Source organism: Homo sapiens, chromosome 22 (genome assembly GCF_000001405.40).
Source record: "Homo sapiens chromosome 22, GRCh38.p14 Primary Assembly".
Classification (NCBI taxonomy): domain Eukaryota; kingdom Metazoa; phylum Chordata; class Mammalia; order Primates; family Hominidae; genus Homo; species Homo sapiens.
The window spans coordinates 25,847,981-25,875,722 of record NC_000022.11 but is presented as its reverse complement, the minus strand read 5'-3'; the positions used below and the strand labels follow the sequence as shown (position 1 = coordinate 25,875,722).

The 27,742-nt window shown below is 43.1% G+C and overlaps 1 protein-coding gene across 14 annotated transcripts in view; it reads right to left on the bottom strand.

Moving 5' to 3' along the window:
* MYO18B (myosin XVIIIB) overlaps window positions 1-27,742 on the bottom strand; it is a 321,660-nt gene that overhangs the window by 188,125 nt on the left and 105,793 nt on the right. For all 14 annotated transcript variants that reach the window (XM_011530461.3, XM_011530458.3, XM_017029014.2 and 11 more), the window contains 3 exons: window positions 24,144-24,253; window positions 7,338-7,403; window positions 1,309-1,437 (listed from right to left, as the gene is read on the bottom strand). In XM_011530461.3, the coding sequence (XP_011528763.1) occupies window positions 1,309-1,437; window positions 7,338-7,403; window positions 24,144-24,253 (305 nt within the window). The remainder of the gene's footprint in view (window positions 1-1,308; window positions 1,438-7,337; window positions 7,404-24,143; window positions 24,254-27,742) is intronic.

The window sequence follows — 27,742 nt, the reverse complement described above, 5'->3', positions numbered from 1 at the left end:
CATGCTTCTCAAACTTGAATGTGCATCAGAATCCCCTGGAGGGCTTGTTAAACCCCAGATGGCTAGACACCACCCCCAAAGGTGCTGATTCAGCCACTCTGGGATGGAGCCTGCAAATGTGCATTTCTAACAAATCCCCAGGTGATGCTGATGCTGCTGGTCTGGGACCACAGTTTGAGAAGCATTGACCCGCTTCATTCTTATCACTGGGGGGGGGACCAGAACAGCACTGACTGGCAGACAGGCCAAGAGATGCTTTTCCCTCATCACCATCACAGCAGCTGATTCTTGTGCAGCAGACATTGAGGCTCGTAAGTGCTAGGCACTGCCCTGAGCATCTCACACACCTCAACTTGGTCTTCAGTATAGTCCTAGGAAGATCATGTTATTTTATGTATTTACGGATGGGGAAAGTGAGGTTCAGAGAGGTAAAGTCACATGCCCAGTGTCACCCAGCTTCTCAGTGCCAGAGCAGGCTTGAACCCTTGCAGTCTGGCTGCAGAGCCCAGGGTCTGAAACTCTATTCCACATCATTCCAAGGTATGAGCTACATGAGCACAGAAGGCCAGTGGGGTTGCCCACAATATGTTCATTATTCACGGTCTCATCATTTTTCTCTTTCTGCCAAGTACATATACTTGAGTTTACAAGTTCACATAAACTGGAGGCACATACAACAAGACTCCATTCTAGTAGTAGCAGTAATTAAGAATAACAATTCTAAGGTAATAGCAGCTAGAGTTTATTGAGCAATTACTATGTGCCATGTACTGTATTAAGTGCACATCATTTCATCTCACCTTCACCCAGCTACTAAGAGGTAGAGGTGGAATTCGAACATATATAATACTTGTTCCCAGAGCCACGTGGTTTTCTCTCTATTGTGCAGCTACAGAGAGGAAATTCAGTCTCCAGAGATCTCTGAAGATGGTGACCCTAAATGGGTCAGTGCTTCAAGCTTGACTTGGCCTTTGGTCCCCAAAACCTCAGTGGCTGGGCCCTGGTCATGCCCTGTCTGCTGACCTGTGAAAGTGAATTTCTCCAGAAACAAGACAGGTTGAAGTCATGAATCAGCCCAGGAGGGCTTGGACAACCTCATGGCTACCTAGCGCAAGGCCGACCTCATGGATAATTTGATGTCAATGTCCCAGAAACAGTCATAACATCTTGCAAAGCCTCACTTAAAGTCTCACTGCTCAGGTTGGATCCTTGGACCCGGTGCACCGGTATCATCCTGAAAGACAGGCAGACCCTATGCCCGCTCCAGACCCGTTGGATCAGACTCCTCATGGGAACGGCATGCAGTACCTTCAGCTTCTTGAATTCCTGGCGAGACAGAAAGCCCTTGCAAGCCGCCTGGAAGAGAACGATGCTCTGAGATACCAGCTTCTCTCGCTGCTTCTCAAGCCTGGAGATCACACCTGCCTTGAGAAAAACCTGGGGAGAGGGAAGGTTTCAGGTGAGTCCTCTGCTGAAGAAGGCTGTCTACAATGGGGGGGTGCTTGCAAATCAGACCCCACTTCTCTTGCACCCACCTGCAATATTTGTTGGCAGTTGCCCTTTAAGTGGGAGGTGGGGGAGTCTAAATTATCAAAGCATTTTGTCTGCTGATGGCTCCTCTCTCCCTTCCCCTAGGCCCTGGATACTCAGTGTGGCCCACGCACCAGTGGCATTGGCACCACCTGGGTGCTTGTTGGAAATGCAAAATCTCGCACTCCATTCCAGACCTGCTAAATCAGAACCTGCACTTTAACACAATCCCCCGGGGATTCCTGTGCACGTTCCTTTGAGAAGCACAGCTAGCATGGACTTGCCTAAACTGTTCTGTGCACGGTCACCACCTGGAAAGTGCAGTACATGCAGATTCCCAGGCCCCAGGAAAGGCTGGGTTGTGGGTTTAGGGCCAGGCCTGGGAATGTGAATATTTTGGGTAAGCACCCACAGCAATCTGAGTGAAGCAGTGGCTTAGAAACAACTCACTCCAGCCGGGCGTGGTGGCTCATGCCTGTAATCCCAGCACTTTGGGAGGCTGAGGTGGGCGGATCACCTGAGGTCAGGAGTTCGAGACCAGCCTGACCAACACGGAGAAACTCCGTCTCTACTAAAAATACAAAATTAGCCAAGCGTGGTGGCGAATGCCTGTAATCCCAGCTACTCGGGAGGCTGAGGCAGGAGAATCGCTTGAACCCGGGAGGCAGAAGTTGTGGTGAGCCAAGATAGTGCCATTGCACTCCAGCCCAGACAAAACTCCATCTCAAAAAAAAGAAAGGAAAGAAAAAAGAAACACCTCAGTCCAGCCTTGTAAGGAGGGGCAGAGACAGTGGGGGAAGGGATGGCAGTCCTCTTGGTCTGGAGAGGATGGGGCTGGGCTGGTGCCACCCACAGAGGTGCTGAGGGATCTAGCAGAAAACAGCTCTCGGTACACGATTTCCAGACCGTAACTCATCAATAATGGATGATGGCCTCTGCAGCACTCTGATCAATGCCTCCTCGGCACCCCACAAAGCCACCTTCTAGTAGACTGCAGGGAACAGGAATGAGGGAAGCTAGGACCCCAGGACTGACTGTCAGCAAAAGATTAAGGCAGAGAGTCCTGGAGGTTTGAGTTAAATGCTTTTCTGCGAGAACCTGAAGCTTCTGGGCCAGGCCTGCTCCTGCCAATGCGCAAGGGTAGCTCTGGTTTGCTTTGGTCATTTTCTCAACTTCCCAGAGGCAGAGGAAAAATGCTCTTATGGTGGGATTTCAGTCAGTGACAGGGGAAGAAGTCATTTTTCTGATGCCCTTATGCTGCTTATTTCTAAAAAGAGTCCCATGTGTTTCTTTGTCACATGTGGTTTATAATCCCAGAGGCGGTTATCTGGAGACACTGGATAACTCTGTATTCATTGATGACATTATCAATTAATGGATAACATTTAGGGGGCACTTACTGTGTTTTGGAACTGGACTAAACAACCACTCGACATGCAGGGAAAACACTTTACATGTCTAATCCTATATGGTAGTTACGATGATTCTCACATTTTATGGAGGAAAAAACTAAGGCTTAAAAAAAAAAGGCATTGGCCCACGATCCTTTACAAGCAAGTGGCAACACCAGGATTTATTTTCCTCTATCTGACTTCAGACAAGGGTACAATTATCACTGAATAGCATGAACATTACATGCATCTACATTTTCCAAAGTGCTTTCTCCTAGGTCTCTTTTTAATACTCAAACAGCTCTATGAGGAATGTACTGGCTCAGGCAGGTTATGAAATTGACTCAAGTTTGCAGAATCAGTTGCCAACAAAGCTGAGACCTGAGCCCAGAACTTCAGGTTTATTTCCTGCACCCATTCTCAATGTCCGTCAACATGAAGCTGCCTTTTCTTATCCATTATGATACAAGCACTTGAAGTGCGAGGTTCAACTGCAATTTGATTCCAGGTGGAACAAAGGGTCTCGATCGATTCTCCATTACCCTAAACCCTATTTTTCGTAATGGAGACCACTCATCTCCGACCATCCTGCACTATGCCTTTTCTCAATGGGAAAATAAAAATTAGCATGCCCAGTTGGTACTAACTCTGTTTCCTAACCCTCCATGGCTTTGCAGAACACTTCCTATCAGACAGGGCCACCAAGACCATTAGTCTCATTGAAATAAAGACACAATTGGCTCATTACCTATCAGATTGCTTCAATAATGACTGTATTAATTTCACAAGCTAGTGAGTCCCAAAAGCTGCTATAAAAAAAAAATCAATGATCAAAGTTATGACAGCACCAGATCGTATATTACAATAGATGGCGGGTGCTGCCAAAACCACTATTGATTATGAAGCTTTCATTAAAAAGATAATTGGAAACAACCATACACAGAATGGGAATAAGCCTTTGCAGAATCTTATCTCAATTTCTCTCTGGTTTTTTGTTTTTTGTTTTTTGTTTTTTTTGCCTTTTAAGAGCATATTGCCGACCAGAAGGCCGACTGCACGTGGAATCACACCTTTCCCACAAATGCCATGGCCCTCAGCACAAGCCTTGATAAGGCGCCAGAGGCTGAAAAATCACGAAGAAAAATCTAAATTATTTGCTTTTCATGGGTCCAGCAGCTTATCGGATGCAAACAGAGTGTAACATCCCCAAAGCCCCACTTTTAAGGAATCCACGGGGGACAAAACCACGCAAACTGTTTTTCCTCTAACAATGCTGAAGGCCCAGGTTTTAAAAAAATCTGATATGGAAACAGCTTCCATATCTGGTACCGCCAAGGAATTAGCTCCTCTCCTCTTAGTCACTTTACAGATTAGAGGAGTTTAATTCTTTAAACATTAAAATGTTATCCTGCTTGATAAGCCTCTTGCCTCACTGACAAATGTATTCAGCAAGTAGTGACAGCCACCCCCTGTTAAATGACACTTTATGGATCCCCACAGCCATCTTGGGAGGTAGAAAGTAATGGCCCCATTTTACAGATAACTGAGGCTCAGGGAAGTTAAACCAGTCACTGAAGATTCACACAGTTAGGAAGTGGTGGAGCCTGGGTGTGGACTGGGTCAGCCGATTCTCTTGTCCCCTGAGCTTCATAGCCTTCTCCATTATTACATGCCAATCCTGCAATGCGTAAGATGCTGCATCTGCCCTTAAAGGTCTCAGTATCCCCCAGCCTGGCCTCCAAAAGGACACATTGACCTTGATTTGCTTTTGACAGTTTCTCAGTCAATACCAAGTATTATTCAATAATAGTCATATTTTATTATCTGAATGTTTAGGTGTACAGACTTCTTACTCCTGCCACTGTAAACTGCATGTAATGACTGTTTTCTTTCTTCTTCTGCAAGAGCTGCCAGGATCATAGGCACTGATTTTCATATTTATGACATAACTGAGTCATTATCTAGACCAGTGGTTCTCAGACTTGAGAGTGCATTGGAATCACCTAGAGGGCTTGTTATACAGATTGCCAGCCCTGCCCCCCTCCAGAGTTTCTGATTTACTAGGTCTGGGGTGTTTCTAGCAAGCTGTTGGGCGATGCTGATGCTGCTGGTTCAGGGCCCATACTTTGAGAACTGCTGGTCTAGAAGGATGAAGTTCCTGGAGCTGAAGAACAATTCCACAGATTCAGGACCGTAAAGATCCATCTGTAAAGAATATGTCATGTACAGTCATGCACCGCCTAATGACATTTCCGTCAACAATAGACGCATACACAACAGCGAGCCCATAACATTATAATACCATATTTTTACTCTACTTTTTCTGTGTTTAAATACTCAGATCCTTACTCTACTTTTTCTATGTTTAAATACTCAGGTCATTACCATTGTATTACAACTGCCTACAGTATTCAGTGCAGTCACATGCTGTACAGGTTTGTAGCTTAGGAGCAATAGGCTGTGCCATCTAACCCAGGTGCGTGGTAGGCTATCCCATCTGTGTTTGTGTGAGTACACTCTGTGATGTTCCCACAGTGAAGAAATTGCCTAACCACTCATTTCTCAGAATGTATCCCCATTGTTAAGCCACACGTGACTGCATTTCCATTCATAAACAATAGGACCCAGAGTGTACGGAAAAGACCCTGGCATTTGGACCAATGCAGGTTTGCGTGGAGTCTGAACCCTTGGCTACAGATAGGATCTTGAAAAGAGGCTTATTTCCCAGGGGCACAGCTTCCTCATCTGTAAAGCAGGAACACACTTGATATCTCACAGAAGACTGTGAGTGAGGAACAAAGAAGAACAAAACGTGAAGTTGCCTCACATAGTGCGTGGGAGTCCAGTAACTGACAGGTTTACTCTCTCTATTGAAAAAGGCTTCAAAGACTTGGGATGCTGCAACTCCTATCAGGATAAAGTATCTTGAGATCACAGCGGAATAACAGGTTCCGCCATATACCTTAGCAGGACCAAGAGGCCAGTGGGGAGACACTAGTGTGTTTAGGGTGGGCTGAGGGGTGGTAGCCAGTGTAGATGACTGTGAGCTCCCTGAGTAAAGGACCACTCTCACGGATGCATATGATAGGGAGGGCTCCATGAAGTACAAATAGCCAATAATGCCACCCTGGTGGGCTCCTGGAGAGCAGAACCCTCCCACCACCTCACATAGCTCCTGGAGGTGGAAGGCCATTGACAAAGTTTTCTTAGATGGCATTCATCAACCAGTAAGTAACTAGGTGGGGAAATGTGTGGAGTAGTCTTTCTTTTGGTCTGTTCCTCTCCAGTTTTCCTTCCCTCCCTCCCTCCTTCCTTCCTTCCTTCCTTCTTTTTTTTTTTTTTTTTTTTTTTTGAGACACAGTATTGTTCTATTGCCCAGGCTGGAGTACAGTGGCACGATCTCAGCTCACCGCAACCTTCGCCTCCCGGGTTCAAGCGATTCTCCTGCCTCGGCCTCCCAAGTAGCTGGGATTACAGGCGCACACCACCACGCCCAGATAATTTTTAAATTTTTTGTAGAGATGGGGGTTTCACCATGTTGGCCAGGCTGGTCTCGAACTCCTGACCTCAGGTGATCTGCCCGCCTTGGCCTCCCAAAGTGCTGGAATTACAGGCATGAGCCAACACGCCCGGCCTCTAGTTTGTATTTCTAAACTGTGTCCCTTTCCCCTGCCCCCACTCCTTGGTCCTTGAGTTTACAATCTCCGTGCCCCACTTCCCAAACTATAATCCATGGAACACTAGCTCCAGAAGATGGTACTAGGTATTCCACACAAACAAAAGGCTGGGGGTTCCACAGTCAAATAGTTTGAGAAACCCTAAATACCATGTATCCCACCTTGAAAACTTCAGCATATATAAGCATATCGGGGAAGTGTGAAATTCTGTTCTAAACATCTGAGCATATTTGGAAGAGCTTTGGGCTCAACACCAGTTTGGGAAAAGCTATTTCTGTCAACCTGAATAATCACGGGCTTTCCTCTCAAGCCCCTTCTTTCTTTTCCCTTACTGCTGCTCATCAGCTATGACTATAGCTGTGTTAGAGCTGGTTGCAAAGCAGAAGTTAAAAGGCTGTGAGTGAAGATGAGCAGTTCTTCTCAGGTTTTATGGCAGCTCTTTCTGAGACTCAGAAGGTCATCTTGAGGACCAGAATGCTAATTCCTCCAAACCACTTGGGGTCCCCAGGAGTGAAGCCTCCAAGAAATGATATTTCCCAGTGTGATTTCAACTCATATTATGACATTGTCTCTCCAGGACCTTGTAAGATAGGCAGGGCAGAAAATCATTAGCTCTACCTTCAGTTTGGGAAAAAGGAGACGTACAGAGATAATAGACAATTGAGGTAGGACAAGAATCAGGTCATCTCTGGGTCCCTGATGTGATGGGCGAATGTTGTAAGAAAGCAGCTCTACTCACTTGGCTGTGCCCCACAGCCACCGCCTTCTTTTCCAGATCCAGGGTCTCCAGGAGCTCCTCCACGGCCTGGGGAAAAAATTAGAGAGAAGTTAGACAGCATAGAAGGTAGGAGGATCCTAAAGGGGAAAGTCAAGCTGGCTCGATGGCTGATGCGCCAGGACGGAGGATGACCCCACATGTCTGTGAGCTTTGGCTAACAGAGCCCCACCTCACACAGGAAGGTGCAGGTGCTGAGCACCTACTGTGTGCCATCCACTCTGCCTTCATACACACACCAATTTGTTTCATCCTCCTATTTTACAGAGCAGAAAACCAAAGATACGAAATGAAATAAAGGATGCAGCTGTTAGGGAAATCAGTACAGAGGTTCCTCGAATAATTAAACATAGAATTACCAGATGATCTGGCCATCCCACTTGTGTGTATATACATAAATGAACTGAAATCAGAGTCTTGGCCGGGCGCGGTGGCTCACGGCTGTTATCTCAGCACTTTGGGAGGCTGAGGTGGGCGGATCACGAGGTCAGGAGATCGAGACCATCCTGGCTAACATGGTGAAGCCCCGTCTCTACTGAAAATACAAAAAATTATAGTCGGGCATGGTGGCGGGCGCCTGTAGTCCCAGCTACTCGGGAGGCTGAGGCAGGAGAATGGCATGAACCTGGGAGGCGGAGCTTGCAGTGAGCCGAGACTGCACCACTGCACTCCAGCCTGGGCAACAGAGCGAGACTCCGTCTCAAAAAAAAGAAAGAAAGAAAGAAAGAAATCAGGGTCTTGAAGAGATATTTATATATTTGTGTTCATAGCAGCATTATACTCAATACCCAAAATGTGGAAGCAACCCAAATGTCCATTGATGGATGAATGGATAAACACTATGTGGTCTATCCATACAATGGAATATTATTCAGCCTTAAAAAGGAAGGAAATTCTGACACATGCTACAACATGGATGAACCTCAAGGACATTATTCCAAGCCAAATAAGTCAGTCACAAAAGGACAAGTACTGCATGATTTCACTTATAAAGGAGGTACTTAGAGTAACCAAATTCATGGAGAATAAAGAATTATGGTGGCTAGGGGTTGGAGACAGGGGGAAATGAAGGCTTATTGTTTAACGGGTATAACGTTTCAGTTTTGCAAGAGGAAGAGCGTTGTGCAGATGGATGTTGTGATAGTTGCACCACACTGAGAATATACTGTCACTGAACTGTATGCTTAAAATGGTTAAGATTAACTTTTATGTTATATATATTTTAATACACACACACAACAAAAACTAAATGAAGGGGCTTTTTTTCAAGATTACAAGTTTGCACACAGGGCAGAGACAGATTCCCATTAAGTTCTTTCTGGCCACAGCTATGTCTTGAACAGTACTGCGTGCCTAGTAATTCACTAAGTCCTCCTGTGATAGCCTCCCCGCTCTATGCTTCTCTCATTGCTCTTGCTGGTGACTGCCTCACTCCCACAAATATTTGCTAAATAAATGACATGGTCAATAACCTCACCTGCCTGATCTACATTATGGCAGAGGAGCCTGTGTTTTCTGTACGCACTATAGTACTATTCTTTTTTTTTTTTTTTTTTTTTTTTTTTGAGACGGAGTCTCGCTCTGTCACCAGGCTGGGATTCTCCTGCCCCAGCCTCCCAAGTAGCTGGGACTACAGGCATGTGCCACCACGCCCGGCTAATTTTTGTATTTTTCACAGAGACGAGGTTTCACCATGTTAGCCAGGATGGTCTCCATCTCTTGACCTCATGATCCACCTGCTTCAGCCTCCCATAGTGCTGGGATTACAGGTGTGAGCCACTGTGCCCAGCCTATAGTACTGTTCTATACACACAGTAGGAGCCCAATAGATATGATGACTGAATGAATAAACACCCAAACCAGAGAGATTCCATAGGGAGGAAAAGCAGCCCCATGCAGGAGAAACAATTTTACTCAAAGAGATTTCTGGATACAGCATGGACTAATCGCCATTTAATGGAATCTTCCCCTTGTCAAATAGTGGTGCAGGCTTTGAAACAATCAGCCAGAGATTTGGACTCTCAGATAAACCCAGGTTGTGCCTGGTTGCTTAGTGACTGCCAATTCCCCTCCCACCCACCCTCATACTACCCCCTCATTGGTCTTTCACTCACTGAAAATCAGAAAGTCTATTTTAAGAATAAACTGTCAGAAAAGTAATTGCAATGCTCAGGAAGCAAAAGGTATTATGAGGCTGGAGTAATTTAGTAAATGAGTTTCAATTCCATGGGTCAAAGACATCACAGAAAACTTCCTAAGATATCAAAAAAAAAATCCTTATTAATAGTCTAGTCCCAGACTGCAATCAGGAAGGAAGCTCCATCTTCCAACCTCCTGGAAGAACATTCCATGACACTCTTCCAAAATGTCGGTGGTTTCACTTATCACATTTTAGCCAAACATGTTCCAAGGGAGCTGTAGGTGGTAGAAATGAATAAAACCAATATATCCAAAATATAATGCCTTTTTTCTCTACATAAGAAGAAAAAAAAACAATAAAAAATTGACTGAAGATAAGATGGATGAATTTTTAAAAGGAAATATATGACCAATGAAATTTTTCTAAGTGTACCTTGGAGGTAAAGTCTATGGCAGATGTTTTGGGGGAAAAAAAATCATGATCCAGAGTTAGATCCATCTGGGTTCAGATCTTGGTTTTATCACTCCATAAACTGTGTGGCCTTGGGGAAGTGCTTTACTCCGAGCCTCAGACTCCATTCAGAAAGATGGGGACAATAACGGCACCTGTTTCAGAAAATTCTGAGGCTGTGCTTGTGCAGGGCTACATAGCACCTGGCATATAGTAAGCACTCAATAAATGTTAGGAGTTATTTCATCCTTATAGTCACCTCTGTTTTGGTCAAAACCTTGGAACAGTGCTGCAAAACATGAATGAAGGCCCCCATTTCTCAGATACACTTCAAACCCTGCCAAAGCACATGCTCAACCCACCATAACTGAGACTCCTTTTCCAGCTCTTTGCTTTCTGAGAACTCTTTAGATGTCTATGTAGCTGAGAACATTAGCCCTAACACAGATATTCTGTTCTGTTGATCTCATTTTACATACAACAAAGCTTGGATTCAAACAGTGGCATGAGTGGGTAAGTGCAGGTATTAAATTATACAACTGACCCTCTTCCCCACCTGCAAAGTGGTGAGAATATTCCCTGCCTGGACCATACAGCAATTCAGAGAATTAATTGAAACTATATGAAAAGGACTTTATAAATTACTTTGCACTTAAATGCTGTTATTTTTATCCCCATTTAACGTTACAATTAGATTGAACCATACGAAACTGTCATTGGTTTAGGTCAAATATCAATCACTTCATTTAGTTCAACATAACATAATCATTGTCCAACAACCAGTTGGTGGAAAAAGACACAGCAAGGATCCAAGTGACTGTTAAGAAATTCCTCCTTGTCCTGTGTCTTTATGGAATCACCTCTTCCATGTACTGGAATTGCCCAGGTAATTGAAACTTATCCTTTGCAGCATAAAATGCTGCTTTTTCGTGAGTCAAATGTGGCCATTTTTCTCCAAGAAAACACAGTTTTCAGTCTGTTTTTGAGTCTGAGCCCTGCTCCAACTGCTTTACACATAACTTGTTTTGTTTCCAACTTTCTGCAGCAGGTACTAATTCATGCCCATTTTACAGAGGAAGAAAGTGAGGCCCAGTGCAATTAAATGACTTGGCAAAGCTCACGTGTTTAGGAAGTGATGGTAGGGGGTTTGAACCCAAGGAATCAGCTCCTGATCTTTTCTCCACCCTCCAACGCTGGGATCAGTTCCACCACTCACTAGCTGTGTGACCCTGAGCAAGCCTCTCCTCCTCTCTGGTCTTCAGTTTGCTTTCTACAACATGGTGTAATCACGCCTGTCCCACAAGGATGTAGTGGAGATTTAATAAGGTCATATAAGTAGCATATAAGGGAGATATTTCCAGAATGGTGGAGGAAGGAGCTTAATAAATCCTCTCCCCTCCCCCCAAAACAAGATAAATATGGATAAAATTTCCAACAACCACAGGTTCAATACTCTGGAAATTGGACAATGGGATACAACAAAATGAGAAGCATTTATTCAAGAAAACCTATTGGATCTCAGGTAGAAACAGTGAGAGTTTGTGGCAATATTGATTACAGGTTCTCCCACTCACCACCCACCCCAGCTCTGTCTCTCTCTCTCTGCAGTAGTTCTTCCAGGGTGAGGCAGCTGTGAAAAACAACAGCTTTGCTTCCAGAAGGGGCTCACCTATATGGAGCAAAGCATGGAAAAAACCCACACCTGGGAGCATTGTCAGAAACAGTAGCAATTTTGGCAGGAAACAAATGAGGAAGGCCAATGGCACAGCTAAGCCTAAGGTTGTTGTCCTGATTGAGGCAAGCACTGGACCTTAAACATGCCAGAAATTTAACAGGAGACACAGGAAATAGGACAGCCACAGTGGGCTTGATAAGTTCCCACATATTCCTGGCTCCAGGCTAAACACAAGAATAAGAGAGACTGGAAAAGGCCCTCACTATCTACATATCCCTATTTATTTGAACATGAAGCCATGTGTACAGGCAGAAACTATGTGAAAGGGCCAAACAGAACGTAGAGGTTGAAGCATAACTGGGAACTGCCTGAATGCTGAGTACATTTCCCAACCCCCACACAGATCCAACAGGAAAATGGAAAAGCCTCAAATATTCAAGATGTTTGATAACAACCTCTGCTGACTCTAAGCTATGCAGACATAGGCGCAACTCCTGGGAAGTCAGATTTAAAATAAAAACACAAATTTTTAAAAATTGGGCAGAGATATCAGTGGTCCCACACCATGAGGAGACAGATCCTGTAATTTTAGTCAAAACAAGTTATAATACTAAATGATTAAGAAAAGATCAGAATGAAGACTTGCTATAATGTATCATCTAAGATGTCCAGTCTTCAGCAAAAATGACAGGATGTGCAATAAACGTAAAATTATGATCCAAACTAAGGGTGAGGGGAAACAGTAGAAAGTATCTTTGTGGGTTCAGAATTTGGACTTAACAGCCAAACACTTCAAAACAGCTATTATAAGTATGTTCAAAGAACTAAAAGAAACAATGCTTAATGAATTAAAGGACAGTGTAATAATAATGACTCCTTAAATAAAAAATGTCAATAACAAGATAGAAATTATTTTTAAAAGATCCAAATGGAACTTCTTCATTTGAAAAGTAAATTAACTGAAATGATAAATTCACCAAAGGGACTCAACAACAGATCTGAGATGTCAAATGAAAGAGTCAGCAAACTTGAAAATAGATCAATAGAAACTATCCAATTTGAAGAACGGAGAGAAATAGGAAGGAGGAAAAATAAATAGAGCCTCAGAGATATGTATGGCAAATCAAGCGTGCCAATATATGCACAACAGGAGTCTCAGAAGAAGAGGAGAAAGACAAAGATTTTAAAAAGTATGAAAAATGATGGCTAGAAACTTCCCAAATTTGACACCCCCCCCCAAAAAAAAAGTCTATGCATCCTAGCGGGTCATTGAATTCCAAATAGAATAAACACAAAGAAGCCACCCCAAGATTTATTATAAACTATTGAAAATCTTGAAAGCAGAAAGAGAGGAATAACTTATTGTGTAAAGGGAAGCATCAAAACAATTAGTGGCTGACTTATCTTCAGAGACAATGAAGTCCAGAATGCAGTGAGATTACATGTTAGAAGTGCTGAAAGGAAAAAACAAACATGTCAATCAGGAATTCCGTATCTGGCAAAATTATTCTTCAAAAATGAAGGTGAAGTAAGGACCTTCTCAGGTAAACAAAGGCTGAGAAAACTTATTGCTATGAGACCTGCCTTACTGTTTCACTTACATTAAAGGAAGTCCTTCAGGATGCAAGGTATCATATCACACGTAATTCAAATACTTAAGGACTAAAGAGCATGGGAAAACAAAAACACATAGGAAAATGTAAAAATCTTCATTTTTTTCCTTTGCTTCCCTTAACTTACCTAAAAGACATAAGATTAAATAAAAGAAAATCATAAAGCTTTATTGTTGATTTTTTAACATATATAGATGTGATCTGCAGTTATCCCTCAGTATCCATGGAGAATTGGTTCCAGGACCGCCAAAGGATACAAAAATCTGCAGATGCATGAGTCCTTTATATAAAATGGCACAGTATTTACAAATAACCTACTCATATCCTTCTGTATACTTTATCTCTAGATTACTTATAATACCTAATAGAATGTAAAATGCCATACAGATAGTTATTATATTGTGTTGTTTAGGGAACCGTGACAAGAAAATAAGTCTGTATATGTTCAGTTCAGACACAACCATCCTTTTTTTTCCAAATATTTTCAGTCAGTTGTTGGTTCAGTTCATGGATATAGAACCCACAGATACATATGGAGGGTGGACTGTGTATTACAGTAGTATCACTAAGGTAGGAGGAAGACGTGAGCTATATTGGAGCAAAGGTTCTATATTTTCCCAGAATTAAGTTAGTATTAATCTGAAGTGGAGCATCTTGAATTACAATACATATTGTAAACCGTAGAACAATCACTAGAAGGGGTGTTCAAATGGCCCCTTGGAAAATACCTAGTTTACACAAAAGAAGGAAGTGAAGGAGGATAGGACTAAAAGAAGGCGTGAAGCCCATACAGAAAATAGCAAAATGGCTATAATGTAAATCACATTACAGATCAATATATTGAACACCTTAATAAAAAGGCAGAGATTGTCAATCTGGATTTTGTAAAAAGATTCAACTATATACCATCTGTAAGAGATGCAGTTAGATACAAAGATAGGTTGGAAGGGGGAAAATGAAATAAGATCTATCATGTAAACACTAAACATAAGATAGCTGGAGTGGCTATACTAATATCAGACAAATTTTGTTTTAAATTTTGTTTAAAATTGAAAACAAAAATCATTACTAGAAACAAAGGGAGACATTTTATAGCAACAAAGGGTTAATCCATCCAGAAGATACGGCATTATAAATATGTCTGTACCTAACCACAGAGCCCCAAAACATGTGAAGCAAAAATGCATAGAATGACAGGATAAATAGAAAATTTAACATTAATAGTTGGAGAGCGTAATACCTGACTCTCAATAATTTACAGAACAATTAAACATAAACGATAGCAACATGCCAGGCACAGTGGCTCACGCCTGTTATCCCAGGACTTTGGGACACTGAGGCCAGAGGATTGCTGGAGCCCAGGAGGTCGAGACCAGACTAGGCAACACAGTAAGACCCTATCTCTAAAAAACAAAATCAGCCAGGTGTGGTGGCATATGCCTGTAGTCTGAGCAACGCAGGGGGCTGAAATAGGAGGATCGCTTGAGCCCAGGAAGTCAAGGCTGCAGTGAGCCATAATCGTGCCACTGCACTCCAGCCAGGGCAACAGAGCAAGAGCCTGCCCTGTCTCAAAAAAAAAAAAAATAGCAATGATATATAAGACTTGAACAATACTATCAACCAAATTGCCCCAACTAACATCTATAGACTACTCAACAACCACAGAATACATGTTTTTTATAAGCACACTTTGAACACTCTCCTAGATATATAATATTAGGCCACAAAATAAGTCTCAATAAAACAAACAAAAATAAATTTAAAAGTACTGAAATCATATAACATATGTTCTCAAACTAAAATGGAATTAAATTAGAAACCAACAAGAAAAAAGGTGAGAAAGTTCCAAATATGTAGAAATTAATACACTTCTTAATAAACAACGGGCCAAAGAAGAAATCACACTAGGAATTAGAAAATATCTTGAACTAAATGAAAATTTTTGTGTGATGCAGCCAAAGTAGTACTTTGAGGAAAATGTATGCTTTAACCATGTATATTGGAAGAGGAGAAGGATTTTGAACCAATAATTTGAGCAAGATTCCTTTTTAAGAAACCAGGAAAAGTAGAGAAAACTCAAATCAAGTGAAAGGAAGGAAGTAACATAGAGTGGAAATCAATAGAAGACAATAGAACCAAAGAAAACAGAAAAACAACAGAGAAAAAAAATCAGTGAAATCAAAAGTTTGTCCTTTGAAAAGACAAAACTGATGAAGTTTATTTACACTGACCAAGGAATAAAGAGGCAGAAAGAAAGAGATGCTACTAATTAGTACAGTCAGACCAATAGAATGAATTTAGATTACGAAAATAAACTCTTTATTTATGGCCAATAAATGTTTGACAAAGGTTCCAACACAATTCGCTGGGAGAAATGATAATAGTCTTTCCAACAAATGGTACTGGGACAATTGAATATCCATATGCAGAAAGATGAATATAGGCATGTATGTTACACCATACACAAAATTAACACACAATAGATCAAATGTCTACACGGAGGAGCTAAAACTACAAATCTTGTAGCGGAAAATGGGAGAATATCTCTGTAACCGAGGGGTAGGTAAAGCGTTCTTAGATATGAAAAAAGCACCAGTCACTTAAAAAATTAGTAAACTGAACTTCATAAAAATCTCTGTGCATCATTATGAAAATGAAAAGACAAGCCACAGGCTGGAAGAAAATATTTTCAAAGATACATCTGATAAATAATTATGTCTAGAACAAATAAAGAACTAGTACAACTCTATAAGATAAACAGCCTAATTAAAATGGGCAAAAAAAATAGAGTTTCACAAAAAAAGAGATAAAATGGCTACTAGGCACATGCAAAAAAAAAAGTCAACATCATTAGGGAAAATGCAAATTAAAACCACAATGAGATGCCGCTTTGCACACAACAGAATGGCTTGAATCAAAAAGGCAAACAATTCCAAGTATTGATAAGGATAGAAAATGAAACCCTCACACATTGCCAGTGAGGATGAACAATGGTAGAGCCACTTTGAAAAATAACTTGACAGTTTCTTTAAAAGTTATATTTAAAAGTTACACATAAATTTACCATATAAACTAGCAATTCTCCTCCAAGAATGCACCCAAAAAAAGTAGAAACATGTTTCTGTGCAAAGACTGATATGCAAATGTTCACAACATCCTTTTTCATAATAGTCAGAAAATCAAAAACTATCCAAATGTAGTTTAGAGATGATCAGTTGATTAAATATCTACTACTATTAATCAAAAAATATTTTATCTTAACAATTATTTGAGGTTTTTAAGGCAAATATTAAAGCCTTCATTGTATAGAAGGGGCATTAAAATCCATAGAAATAGTAAAATTACTATTTTTACAACAAAATCATAATTGATTACATTTATTATTTACTCTGTGTATATGAAAGTCACCATGTCAATACGTTAAATTGCTCAATCCTCCTATCAACAGTATTAGAAACTATTAGTATGCCATTTTAAGATAATAAAACTAAGTCAAAGAAAGGCTGAGTGACTTGTCAAATGTCACACAGCCAGTGAGCAGATTAGACACAGTATGTGCTCAGAAAGCCTGACTCCAGAATCTGTATCCTTAACCTGTTAAGCTATCCCACTTCGAATTCACAACTAGTAAGATTCATTCAGTGAAGCATCCCAGGCATTGAGCATAGATGGGTCATCGTCTTCACTGTAAGTCAACATTACACCTCAGCAAACATGGCTCTTGGCAAACCTGAGATCTCTCCACCTTAAGTAGGAAAATTCCGATAGCCTGTGTCAAATTGAGCCCAGATTTTGGGGTCTAACTGATTTCAGTCACATCCAACCCACAGCCCCCACTTACAGAGTTCCATTGTTTCCTAGAATTTTGCAAAGAGCTTTCTCTCCAATGTTCAAGAAGAGTGTACCCGAAAAGCATATGGGCTGACATCTCACATTTGGCTGTATATGCCAGACAGGCAGAGAGACTCCAGAAATAATGAAGAGCCATAGCTGCAAAGTGCTTCCCCAACTCACTCCTCAATGAACAGTTTGATATGAAGAATCTGTGTCTATGGAATAGGATACTCATCCTGTGAACCATTTGGCTGCCGTCCATATAGCACCTGCCCCCATGAAGCCCACACCATGGTCCAATGGCTTCCATATGTTGAGTTCCTATAATGTACCAGACACTTTGCTATGCCATACTATATGTTGCCTATGGTCATACAGCTATCAAGTATCAAGGGCGTGGATTCATAGAGAGAGATATGGAAGAAGACACAATTTGAACTCAAGTCTATCTGACTCTAAATCACATACTTTAACCACTGAGCCTCTCACACAAGTGGCCAAATCATTCCATAAGGGTGCTAACTGTGTCTGTTTTTTAACTATTTATGCTCAAGCCTATAAACGAAATGCCTGGAAAAAGGCAGAAACTATCCAAAAACCAAATGCACATGCACACACCAATTACATTGGGTTGATTAAAATTGAGTGGAAAACATGTAAAATAATTAAAACAATAGACCCAGCTCACAGTGCACAGTGGTTCACACTTGTAATCCCATCACTTTGGTAGACCAAGGTGGTTGGATCATCTGAGGTCAGGAGTTCAAGACCAGCCTGGCCAACATGGCGAAACCAGGTCTCTACAAAAGTACTAAAATTAGCCTGGCGTGGTGGCGCATGCCTGTAGTCCCAGCTACTCAGGAGGCTGAGGCAGGAGAATCACTTGAACCCAGGAGGCAGAGGTTGCAGTGAGCCGAGATAGCACCACTGCACTCCAGCCTGGGCAACAGAGCGAGACTCTGTCTCAAAAAACAAACAAAACAATAGACCCAAACTGGAGGGAGACAGCAAGGTGAACAAGAAAGGGATGATGAATAAATTTCAGGAGCGAAGGTGGTGGGAGCCCATGAATAATTATTCAGCACCTAGAGAGCAGACAGCTCCCTCCCTGGCCATGGGCTCATAAGGGTTTCTTCCCAGCAGATAAAGACTCTTGAGATGAATTCACAGGAAACTGGGAGTGTCTGCCAGGGTGGGAGACAGAATAACAGTGGCTGCCTTTGAGAAGACGGATTGACAGCCCTTAATTATGTTCTTCAGATCAAGTCCTCAGGGACAGAGATTTTGCCGGCTAAAATCAATCAACACTGTAGACACTTTGCGGGGAGGAGGGCAGGCCCAAGGGTTTCCTCACATCGATCAGATAGACTTGGCAACTCCTGCTTCAGCAGCAGAAAAATGGAAGGGACCAGAATCTGGGACGTAGCCAAGGTGAGCTGAAAGAGTGCCTTCACTGACCTGCCTGAGATTCCACCCTTGTATTCACTCTATGTAGGCTTTGGTGTAGGTTAAAGCATCATCTAACCAGAGGAGGTAGCCTGGGAGACAGGAATGGAACTGAAGATGATTACAGGGAGAAGACAGGGTCATTTGGGAGGCTTCAGTATGTGCCTGGGTGTCTAGAGGAGACAGGGGCCTCTGGAATAGCCAGAGGTCAGCAAGAGGACACTGCTTCCTAGAGAGGACCATGGAATGGGCAGCATGGACTTCGCTTCCTTCATAATTTTGCTGAAGCCAGTTCAAGTCACAAAGATCAGGTCTGCTATGCCACGCCCCTGCTGAAACCCTTCAGAGGAGCATCACTGAACACCTGATAAAGCCCAGACTCTCTAACTTGGCTAACAAGAACCCAGAATTTGCTTCTGTCAAACTCCTCAGCCCCTTTACTTGGCACTTGGCATCTTTTATGCTCCAGCACCACGAAACTATCTATGCACCTCCATGACTCCAGATCTTTGCAATCCTGTACCCAACATGAGAATGTCCTGTAACCTTTCTCCTACTCAGTTCCTCCAGAGTGTTTCACAAACCTCATCTCAAGCATCACCTACTTCTGAAATGTCTTCCCTGAGTGCCCCACTCTCACCTCCCTTGGAAACATCAAATGTTTTAGTGGCATCTCCTGGGGTGTCCCAAAGCCAGCTCTGTATGGAAGTTGCTGGTGCCTAGCACAGGATCTGGTGAAAAGCAGGCACTTGGTTAAAGTTGGATGAAATTAATGATAATTATTTAAAGTTAATATCCATGAATGGCATGTCCTGTAACGAACTGCACTAAATACTTTGCCTGCCCTCAGAGGGCTTCTATTCAACTCCTGTGTGAACATGAAAAGATGCTCAACACCCCTAATCATGAGGAAAATGCAAATCAAAACCACATTGAGACACTATCTCACACCCATTAGCATGGCAACTATCAAAAAAACAAAACAAGAAATAACACATTGGCAGGAATGTGGAGAACTTGCCATCCATGTGCAGTATTGGTGGAAATGCAAAATGGTACAGCTGCTATAAAAAACTGTATGGCAGCTCATCAAAAAATTTAAAATAGAATTACCATATGATCCAGCTATTCCACTTCTGGGTATATACCCCAAAAAACTGAAAGCAGGGTCTCACCAGGGCCTACTGGAGGGTAAAGAGTGGGAGGAGGGTGAGGACTGAAAAACTACCTATTGCGTACCATGCTTATTACCTGGGTGATGAACTTATCTGTACACCAAACCCTTGTAACATGAAATTTACCTAGATAATAAACATGCATGTGTACCTCCCCTGAACCTAAAACAAGAGTTCAAAAAAAAAAAAAAGAAAGAAAGTAGGGTCTTCAAGAGATATTTGTACATTCAACCCAGCAACCCCATTACTGGGCATATAGCTGAAGGAATAGAAATCCTTCTATTATAAAGACACATGCACATGTATGCTCACTGCAGCACCATTTGCAATAGTAAAGACATAGAATCACCCTAAATGCCCATCAGTGATAGACTGGATAAAGAAAATGTGGTACATAGACACTATGGAATACTATGCAGTCACAAAAAAAGAATGAGGGCCGGGCGCAGTGGCTCACACCTGTAATGCCAGCACTTTGGGAGGCCGAGGTGGGCGGATCACGAGGTCAGATCGAGATCATCCTGGCTAACATGGTGAAACCCCGTCTCTACTAAAAATACAAAAAATTAGCCAGGCGTGGTGGCGGGCGCCTGAAGTTCCAGCTACTCAGGAGGCTGTGGCAGAAGAATGGTGTGAACCCGGGAGGCAGAGCTTGCGGTGAGCCAAGATCGTGCCACCGCATTCTAGCCTGGGCAACAAAGCAAGACTCCATCTCAAAAAAAAAAAAAAAAGAATGAGATAACGTCCTTTGCAGAAACATGAATGGAGCTGGAGGCCATTATCCTTAGCAAACTAATGCAGGAACAGAAAACCAAATACCACATGTTCTCACTTATAAGTGGGAGCTAAATGATGAAAGCAAATGGACACATAGAGGGGAACAACACACACTGGAGCCTGTTGGAGGGGAAGGATGGGAGGAGGGAGAGAATCAGGAAAAATAACTAATGGGCTAATGGGTACTAGGCTTAATACCTGGGTGATGAAATGATCTGTACAACAAACCCCCATGACACAAGTTTGTTACAACAAACCTGCATGTGTACCCCCGAACTTAAAATAAAAGTTGAAAAGGAAACATGGAATCAACCCAAACATCCACTGACAGTCGAATGGACAGGTAAAATAAGGTATACATCCACAATGGAATATTTTTCAGCCTCAGGAAGGAAATTCTGACACCTGCCACAACATGAATGAACCTTGAGGACATTATGCAAAGTGAAATTAACCAGTCATGAAAGGACATATGTGGCATGATTCTACTTCTATGATGGACTTAGAATAGTCAGATTTATAGAGACAGAAAGTGGAATGATGATGGCCAGAGCCTGAGGGGAGGAGGAATCGGGAATTATTGTTTAATGGGTACCAACTTTCAATTTTGCAAGACGAAAAAGTTATGGAGATGAATGGTGCTTATTGTTGCTCAAAAATATGAATGTACTTAATACCACTGATCAACACACTTAAAAATGGTTATGGCAGTAAAGTTTATGCTATGTGTATTTTACCATAATTTTTTTTTAAGCCCTATGTCAGGAATCTGAGAGCCTGAGTTCAAATCCCAGCTCTACTACTACCTGGCTGGGTGGTCATGGCCTCAGCTGCCTACGCTGTGAAATGAGGATGATTCCCAGAGTGGGAATTATATTTTGAATACTGTCTTAGCTCATGGTTCTGTAACCTTTTCATAGTATGTCTGATATTTTATAATGAGAGTTTATGCATCTGTGATAAAAGACATATGCTATTTTTGTTTCAGGAACACAATATATCCATCAGGTACCCACCAAATGAGAGTACTTCATTGGGAAACAGTCTTGGCATGAAACACCAACATTCAGACCCCACATGTTAGACCCACAGGGGACTTCACCAAGACCCATTTTACACCCTGACAATGAATCCCCTCTGCTGCCGTCTAGTGTCTAATGACAATATTGACCTTTTCTAGCTGTCAACCTTGTCTTATTAAATCCTGAGGTCTTAACTGCTTTGCACACAGAAACTGATAGTTTGCCCACCCAAGCACGTGTTCATGTATAATTCATGGCATATCATGTGGCCTGGCAAATGAATATTTATCAGTTTTTTCATAAGAGGCAGGATGATGTTTCTTTTCGTTGCTACCAAAATTCTATGCTGCAGCAAATAAAATTTGTGAGCAAATAAAAAAAGAATAAGAAGAAGCAAAAATTCCCAACCAAGTCCATTCTCCTTGTAATTTTCCATTTTCTGAGGCCTCTAGCGTGTATGGAGGTGGTTTTGGTTTGGCTACAACAGAGAACTGCTGACTCATTCAGAGTAGAAACACTTCCATATGCTACACCCTTTGCCTCCACAAAAAAACTCCCCCACACCTGACTCCTGCACCATTTTCAACCACAGAGGAGCCCAAGACCCTCTCAGTGGCTCCATTCAGCCCCTCTGAATGAAGTCAAATTTTCAGAGACCAAGAATAAGGAACCCCATGAACGAAGACTGCTACAGAGTGGTTGATGGCACCAAGTCAGGCAGAATTTCATGGCTTCCAAAATGGGCCACTACCCAGAGAAGGGACAGCCCTGTGCCACAGACATCTGGGGGTGATGTCCCCTCCATAGTGAGTTAGGAGGGCCCTGCAGAAGGCATTGCCTTGTCTACTGAAAGTGGCCTGTGCCCTGGTACCCACTGCAAAGAAGAACTAAGAAGACACCTAAGAATTGTGACTTTACATCTAGTCTTCTGACTCATTCATTGAGGACTGCAGTGCTGATGATCTCAGGCACACGCAGGCACATGCAGTTGCAACAGGATTGTGAACACATGGTCTGTGAGGCTTGTGTGTCATCGCCCTGGATTTGAAAGAGGATGATGATATTGATGGTGCTGCTGCTGATGTTGATGATGGTGGTTAATGTATATTGAGCCCTTACTATGTCCCAGGACCTGTGTAAGGTACATGAACTATACTATTACATGTCATCCTCAGAACACTCCATCGAGTTTCATGGAGTACTCTTTCATCTTGCTATTCAGATCCCAGCTCAGCTATCATCCTCCATCACATCCTCTTGTTTAATTAGTTTTTGTAGCACTTATCCTGAAATTATGTGGATCCCCTATGTATTTTCTGCATTGTGGTCCTTCCCACTTTACACATGAGGAAACTGAGGCAGAAAGATGACATAACCAGTTTACATTCACACAGCCCCAGCTGGGAATCAAATTCAAGTCAGTTTGAAGTACCTCCCTTTATGAACTATGCTCTTTAAACTATCCTCCCCTGGAATTGAGAAACTTGAGTCCAAGGAGCAAACCCACAAATGCCTGGCTGTGTGGCCTCAGGAGTGCCACTTCATCTTAAGAAACGTGGTGTTCTCTTTTGTAAATGGAGTGTAATAGCTCTTCTTTTGCAGGGCTGTTATGAAGATGAAATAGGGCTTTGCAAATTCTAACAAGCTCTCTAATCATCGATAAGCCTGTGGCCATTCTCAAGAGAAACATTTATTGAAAGTTTGGCACTGGAAGTAGAGATGAGATTCCATGAGTTTACGGTGTAGTTGGAGAAAGAAGACACACAGGGACAACAATACAAAGTTAGGTCTGGGTATTCATTCATTCATTCATTCATTCATTAACTCAACAAAAACATTATTGAGCTCTTGCTGTAAGCCAGAAAACACAGAGGAGATTCACATTATTTCAGATAAGTGCTACATAAACATCAAAACAAGAGGATGTGATGAAGAATGGTATCTGAGCTGGGATCTGAATAGCAAGATGACACCAGCCACGCAAAGATTCGGGGAACGAGTGCTCCAGGCAGAGAAAACAGCTCGTGCAAAGGCCCTAAGGAGTGATGTTCATCAGAATTCTCAAACATGGGGCCCTGATGTAAATATTTCCTAAACATTTTGGACCCTGAAGCCCTCTTTTCATAGACCACCCCAGGGTGCTGGTGCTGAATGGAACACACTTTGCAAATGATGACCTTTCACCTTGCTAGGGTCCCTTTTAGCTGGGATGCTCTCTTCTCATGACTCTATTCTTATTCTTTTCCTAAAGTTCCTTATCTAGGGGTCAGAAGGGTCATTCTGGGCTGAGTCGGGTCCCAAGTGACATTGTTGTGGGGGTTTGGTCTAGAGCAAGAATTTGAGTGAAACCTCATGCTGCCCTCAGCACTGCCCCCATGGTCCTGCTTTCAGATTCCAGCTGGTCCAGATGCCCCCTGGGGCAATCCCTTATGGAACATGAGCCCACTGGACCTTAGTCAAAGTCATATTGCCCAGGCTGGTCTTGTACTCCTGGACTCAAGTGATCCACCCACCTGGGTATCCCAAAGCACTGAGATTACAGGCATGAGCCACTCACCGTGCCCAGCCTTGGAACATGTCCAATAACCAACATATCCATATCTAGGGCCTTCACCCCTCTCGCATGTGCTCCACCTACCTTCCTTTCATCTATTCCCTCGGAGGTCGACATGAGCTTCTTCAGGAGTGGAGCGTCCAGCACCTGGAATTGCCGGCGGAAGCGAGTGAGCCCCATGTGGTCAGCATAGCCTAGGGAGGTAGGAGCAGGCAGGAGAAGAGCACAGAGTCCAGATGAGAAGACCCAGCCCAGTTCCCTAAACCCCTAGACAGGAGTGCAGGGTCCTGCTTCCTAGCCTGGCTACTAACTTGCTGCATGGACTCATCTCTTGGGACCTTAGTTTCTCCATTTGTTAATTTAAGAGACTATATTTGATTGGCACTTCCCAGAGGTGTTCCTGAGAACACGAACCCTATAAAATGCTCCACTGAAAGTTTGAAAAAGCTGCACACTCATCCGCCTCTTGGAAGGTCCATGAGCCATGTCAGCATCCAAGTCAAAGGCTCTGAGAACTCATGCAGGGGAGATGCCTGATAAGCCTTGAGTTTCCCAACGTTAGCCCAGAGGTTCCCAAACCCGTTTGACAAAGGAAAGTGTTTTGTCTAACACATATTACCACCCCATACACTGTATGTGAAGCATGCTGCATTGGGCAGTATCTAAGGGCATTTGTAAGTCTACCATGCAGGGTGGACGCAACTGCATCCTTCTATGTGGGGAACTGGGAAGAGAAGGGGCACCTGAAAAGCTGTTGGGAGAAAATGACATTAGATTCAGTTTTTGAAGAAGCCATAGGGTTTTCCAAAATAACTTGGTATGGAAGAGAAGTCTAGGCAGAGGGGGCTGTACAGACAAGACCTAGAACAGGGAAGTATAAGATACATTCCAAGGCTGGGCACGGTGTCTACAAAAAATACAAAAATTTGCCAGTCGTGGTGGTGCGTTCCTGTAGTCGCAGCTACTCTGGAGGTGGGAGAATTACTTGAGCCCAGGAGGCAGAGGTTGCAGCAAGCCACGATCGTGCCACTGCACTCCAGCCTGGGTGACAGAGCGAGACACTGTCCCAAAAAAGAAAAAAAATTATTTTATAGTCCACAGTAACAGCCAGCATTTACTGAGAGCTTATGTGTGCAAATCACTAGGGTAACAACTTCCTCGTGTTATAGACACTCATGGGCCTATGTTATCATCCTCATTTTACAAAAGGGGAAATTGAGCCCCAGAGAGATGAATTCACCTAGTTACACAACACAAAATAGTAACTGTCTCAGCTGGGACTCAAACCCAGGCAGCGGAGAGTAGCCAAAGACGAGCAGAGACCAGGTCCCAAAGGAAATTGAGCGCAAATTCCAGGTCTCGAGGTTTAGACTCTTCCCTGGGTACAAGAAGAGCCTCAACTGCTTAAAAAAGACCCCCCAAGTGACTGGATCAGAAAAGGTATGGTAAAATCTCACTCCACTTTTGAGACTTCACAATAAGCCAGATGCATCAACTAGGAAGAACAGCAATTGTTTGTGTGGCTAATCCTGGAAGACTTCCTGGGGAAGAGGAGGGTCTCAGACCAGCTTTGAAGGATGCAGACAGCACAGAGATGGGGGACCTGGGAGGTTACCAGCCTCCTTTAGGGCACACCTATCTGCATTCATGTCCCGTCTCTGTGCTTATGAGCCCCATGACTGGGACAACTGATTCACCTTTCTGAGATTCAATTTCTTCACTTGTCAGATGAGATAACAAGATCTATCTTCACATGGTCACTATGAGGATTAAATGCGATGACAATTATAGTAAAAGTGGCTAATGGGTATTATGTGTTCTTCCACAACCTGCCACTTTTCTAAGCTTTATTGTCTTATTGACGCACCCAGCCCCATAGCAGCCTTCAGCGATATGAGCTATTATAGGAGAGGACAGGGAGATAAGCTCTAGGGAATTTCCTGGGGTCACACGGCTGGTGAGAGGTGGTGGCCAGAATCAAGGCCAAACCATTTCCCTCCAGAGTTGGAGCTGTGCCTACCAGGCTGCACGATAGGTAATGTTGAATGAATGTTTACTACATACCTTTAGCACAGCAAAAATGATCTCATTTAGTATAGGTGACAACACAGTGTCTAGTACGTAGTAGGTACTCAATAGCATGCATGAGTATGCATCACACATGCATGTGTATATATGCATATATATATTATATATGCACAGATTCCAAATAATAAATATTTGACGTATCTGTGTATGCATACAAATCTATCTCATGTGAGTGTGAAAGAGACAAACATGACTTACAATAGAAATAAAAAGAGGAAATGAACCAGGTCTAGGAGACAGAAATTGGACATTTCTACCATGAGATATCAACCCTTCGCTTAGTTGGAAAGCTCATCATGGCTGAGCTAGGCTGTGCTGAGAACAGAGATGGTGTCGTGAGGTCACGTGAACACAGGAACGGGACACCCTGACCCTGCGTGCGCACAGGCATTCTAACAGTCTGACCCAGGCCCATGGTGCCTGCAAAGGCCCAGCACTTCCTGCCAAGCAGCCAAATAGAATCGATTAAGTGTGGGGGACCAGCCACTGGCTGTGACCATCCCCCTCTTCTCTTGTGACATTATCTGTCTCCCTCCTCTGCGGCTGTGCGGGTGGGAGGGAAAATCATTGATATGCTCAGCGGAGTGAGGGTCTCATCTTTGCTTCTAGCTGCTCCCAGTCAAATACTCTGTGCCCAGGGGTCCCTTATTAACCCAGCAGGGGGAGATGGGAGAAGCGACCATACACTAGGGCACTAGTGACCACGGAGACTTTAACCAAATGAGGTGCTCACCTGAGACTTCTGCCTGTCCCAGCCACCCTGTCCTCTGCAGAGAGCATGGCCTTGTCTGAGCCATTTCTAACTGTCAGAGAGGGGAGTCAGTGTGGTGGCCTTTGGAGACTGAGAGGCAGAAAAGAATAGCAAGGACTGAGATCAAACTCAACTCCTAAGATTAGCTAATGTGGGGACATCAGGTGCACATTTTCTTACTAAAATACAGACCCAAAAACTTCAATCCCTTGATTAGAATCCCCCCATCCCCCTGCCAGCCCATCATCTCCCCAGGTGGACCTGGTGATAACCCAACAGAGGCATTCCCAGCCTGCGCTGGTGGATGCCTCAGCCTCTTCTCCCACAACTCCTCACTCATTCTGAATCCACTTCCCTGAAAACCTGCCCGTTTTATGCCTCCATCCTTCATACTTGCTGATCCCTCTGCCTAATGTTCCCTCCCTTTGCCAGAGGTGACAGTTTCTTATGCTTCAAGGCCTGACTATGGTATTACATCACTGTGAGCTTTCCCCAAACTCCCAGTGAGAGTAGGAAGCTCCCTCCTTTAGGCCTCAGGGCCTCCCGTATCCCTGGGTGCTATGAGCCCTCATCAAGTCATATCATCATCTCCTGGGATCACAGCAACCTCCCAAACCAAACTGAGCATCGTGAACATCAAAATATCACTCATCACAGGAATTCCACCCTCTGTTGCAAGACAATGCTCCTTAGAAATTCATGGCTAAAAGGAAGACACAGCCCTAGTTTTCTAGGAGTGTACAGGCAATTCTAGAAATAATATGGGCTTTTTCAACAGGTGCAGCCAACCAACATAGCACATGTATACCTATGTAACAAACCTGCACGTGCTGTACATGTATCC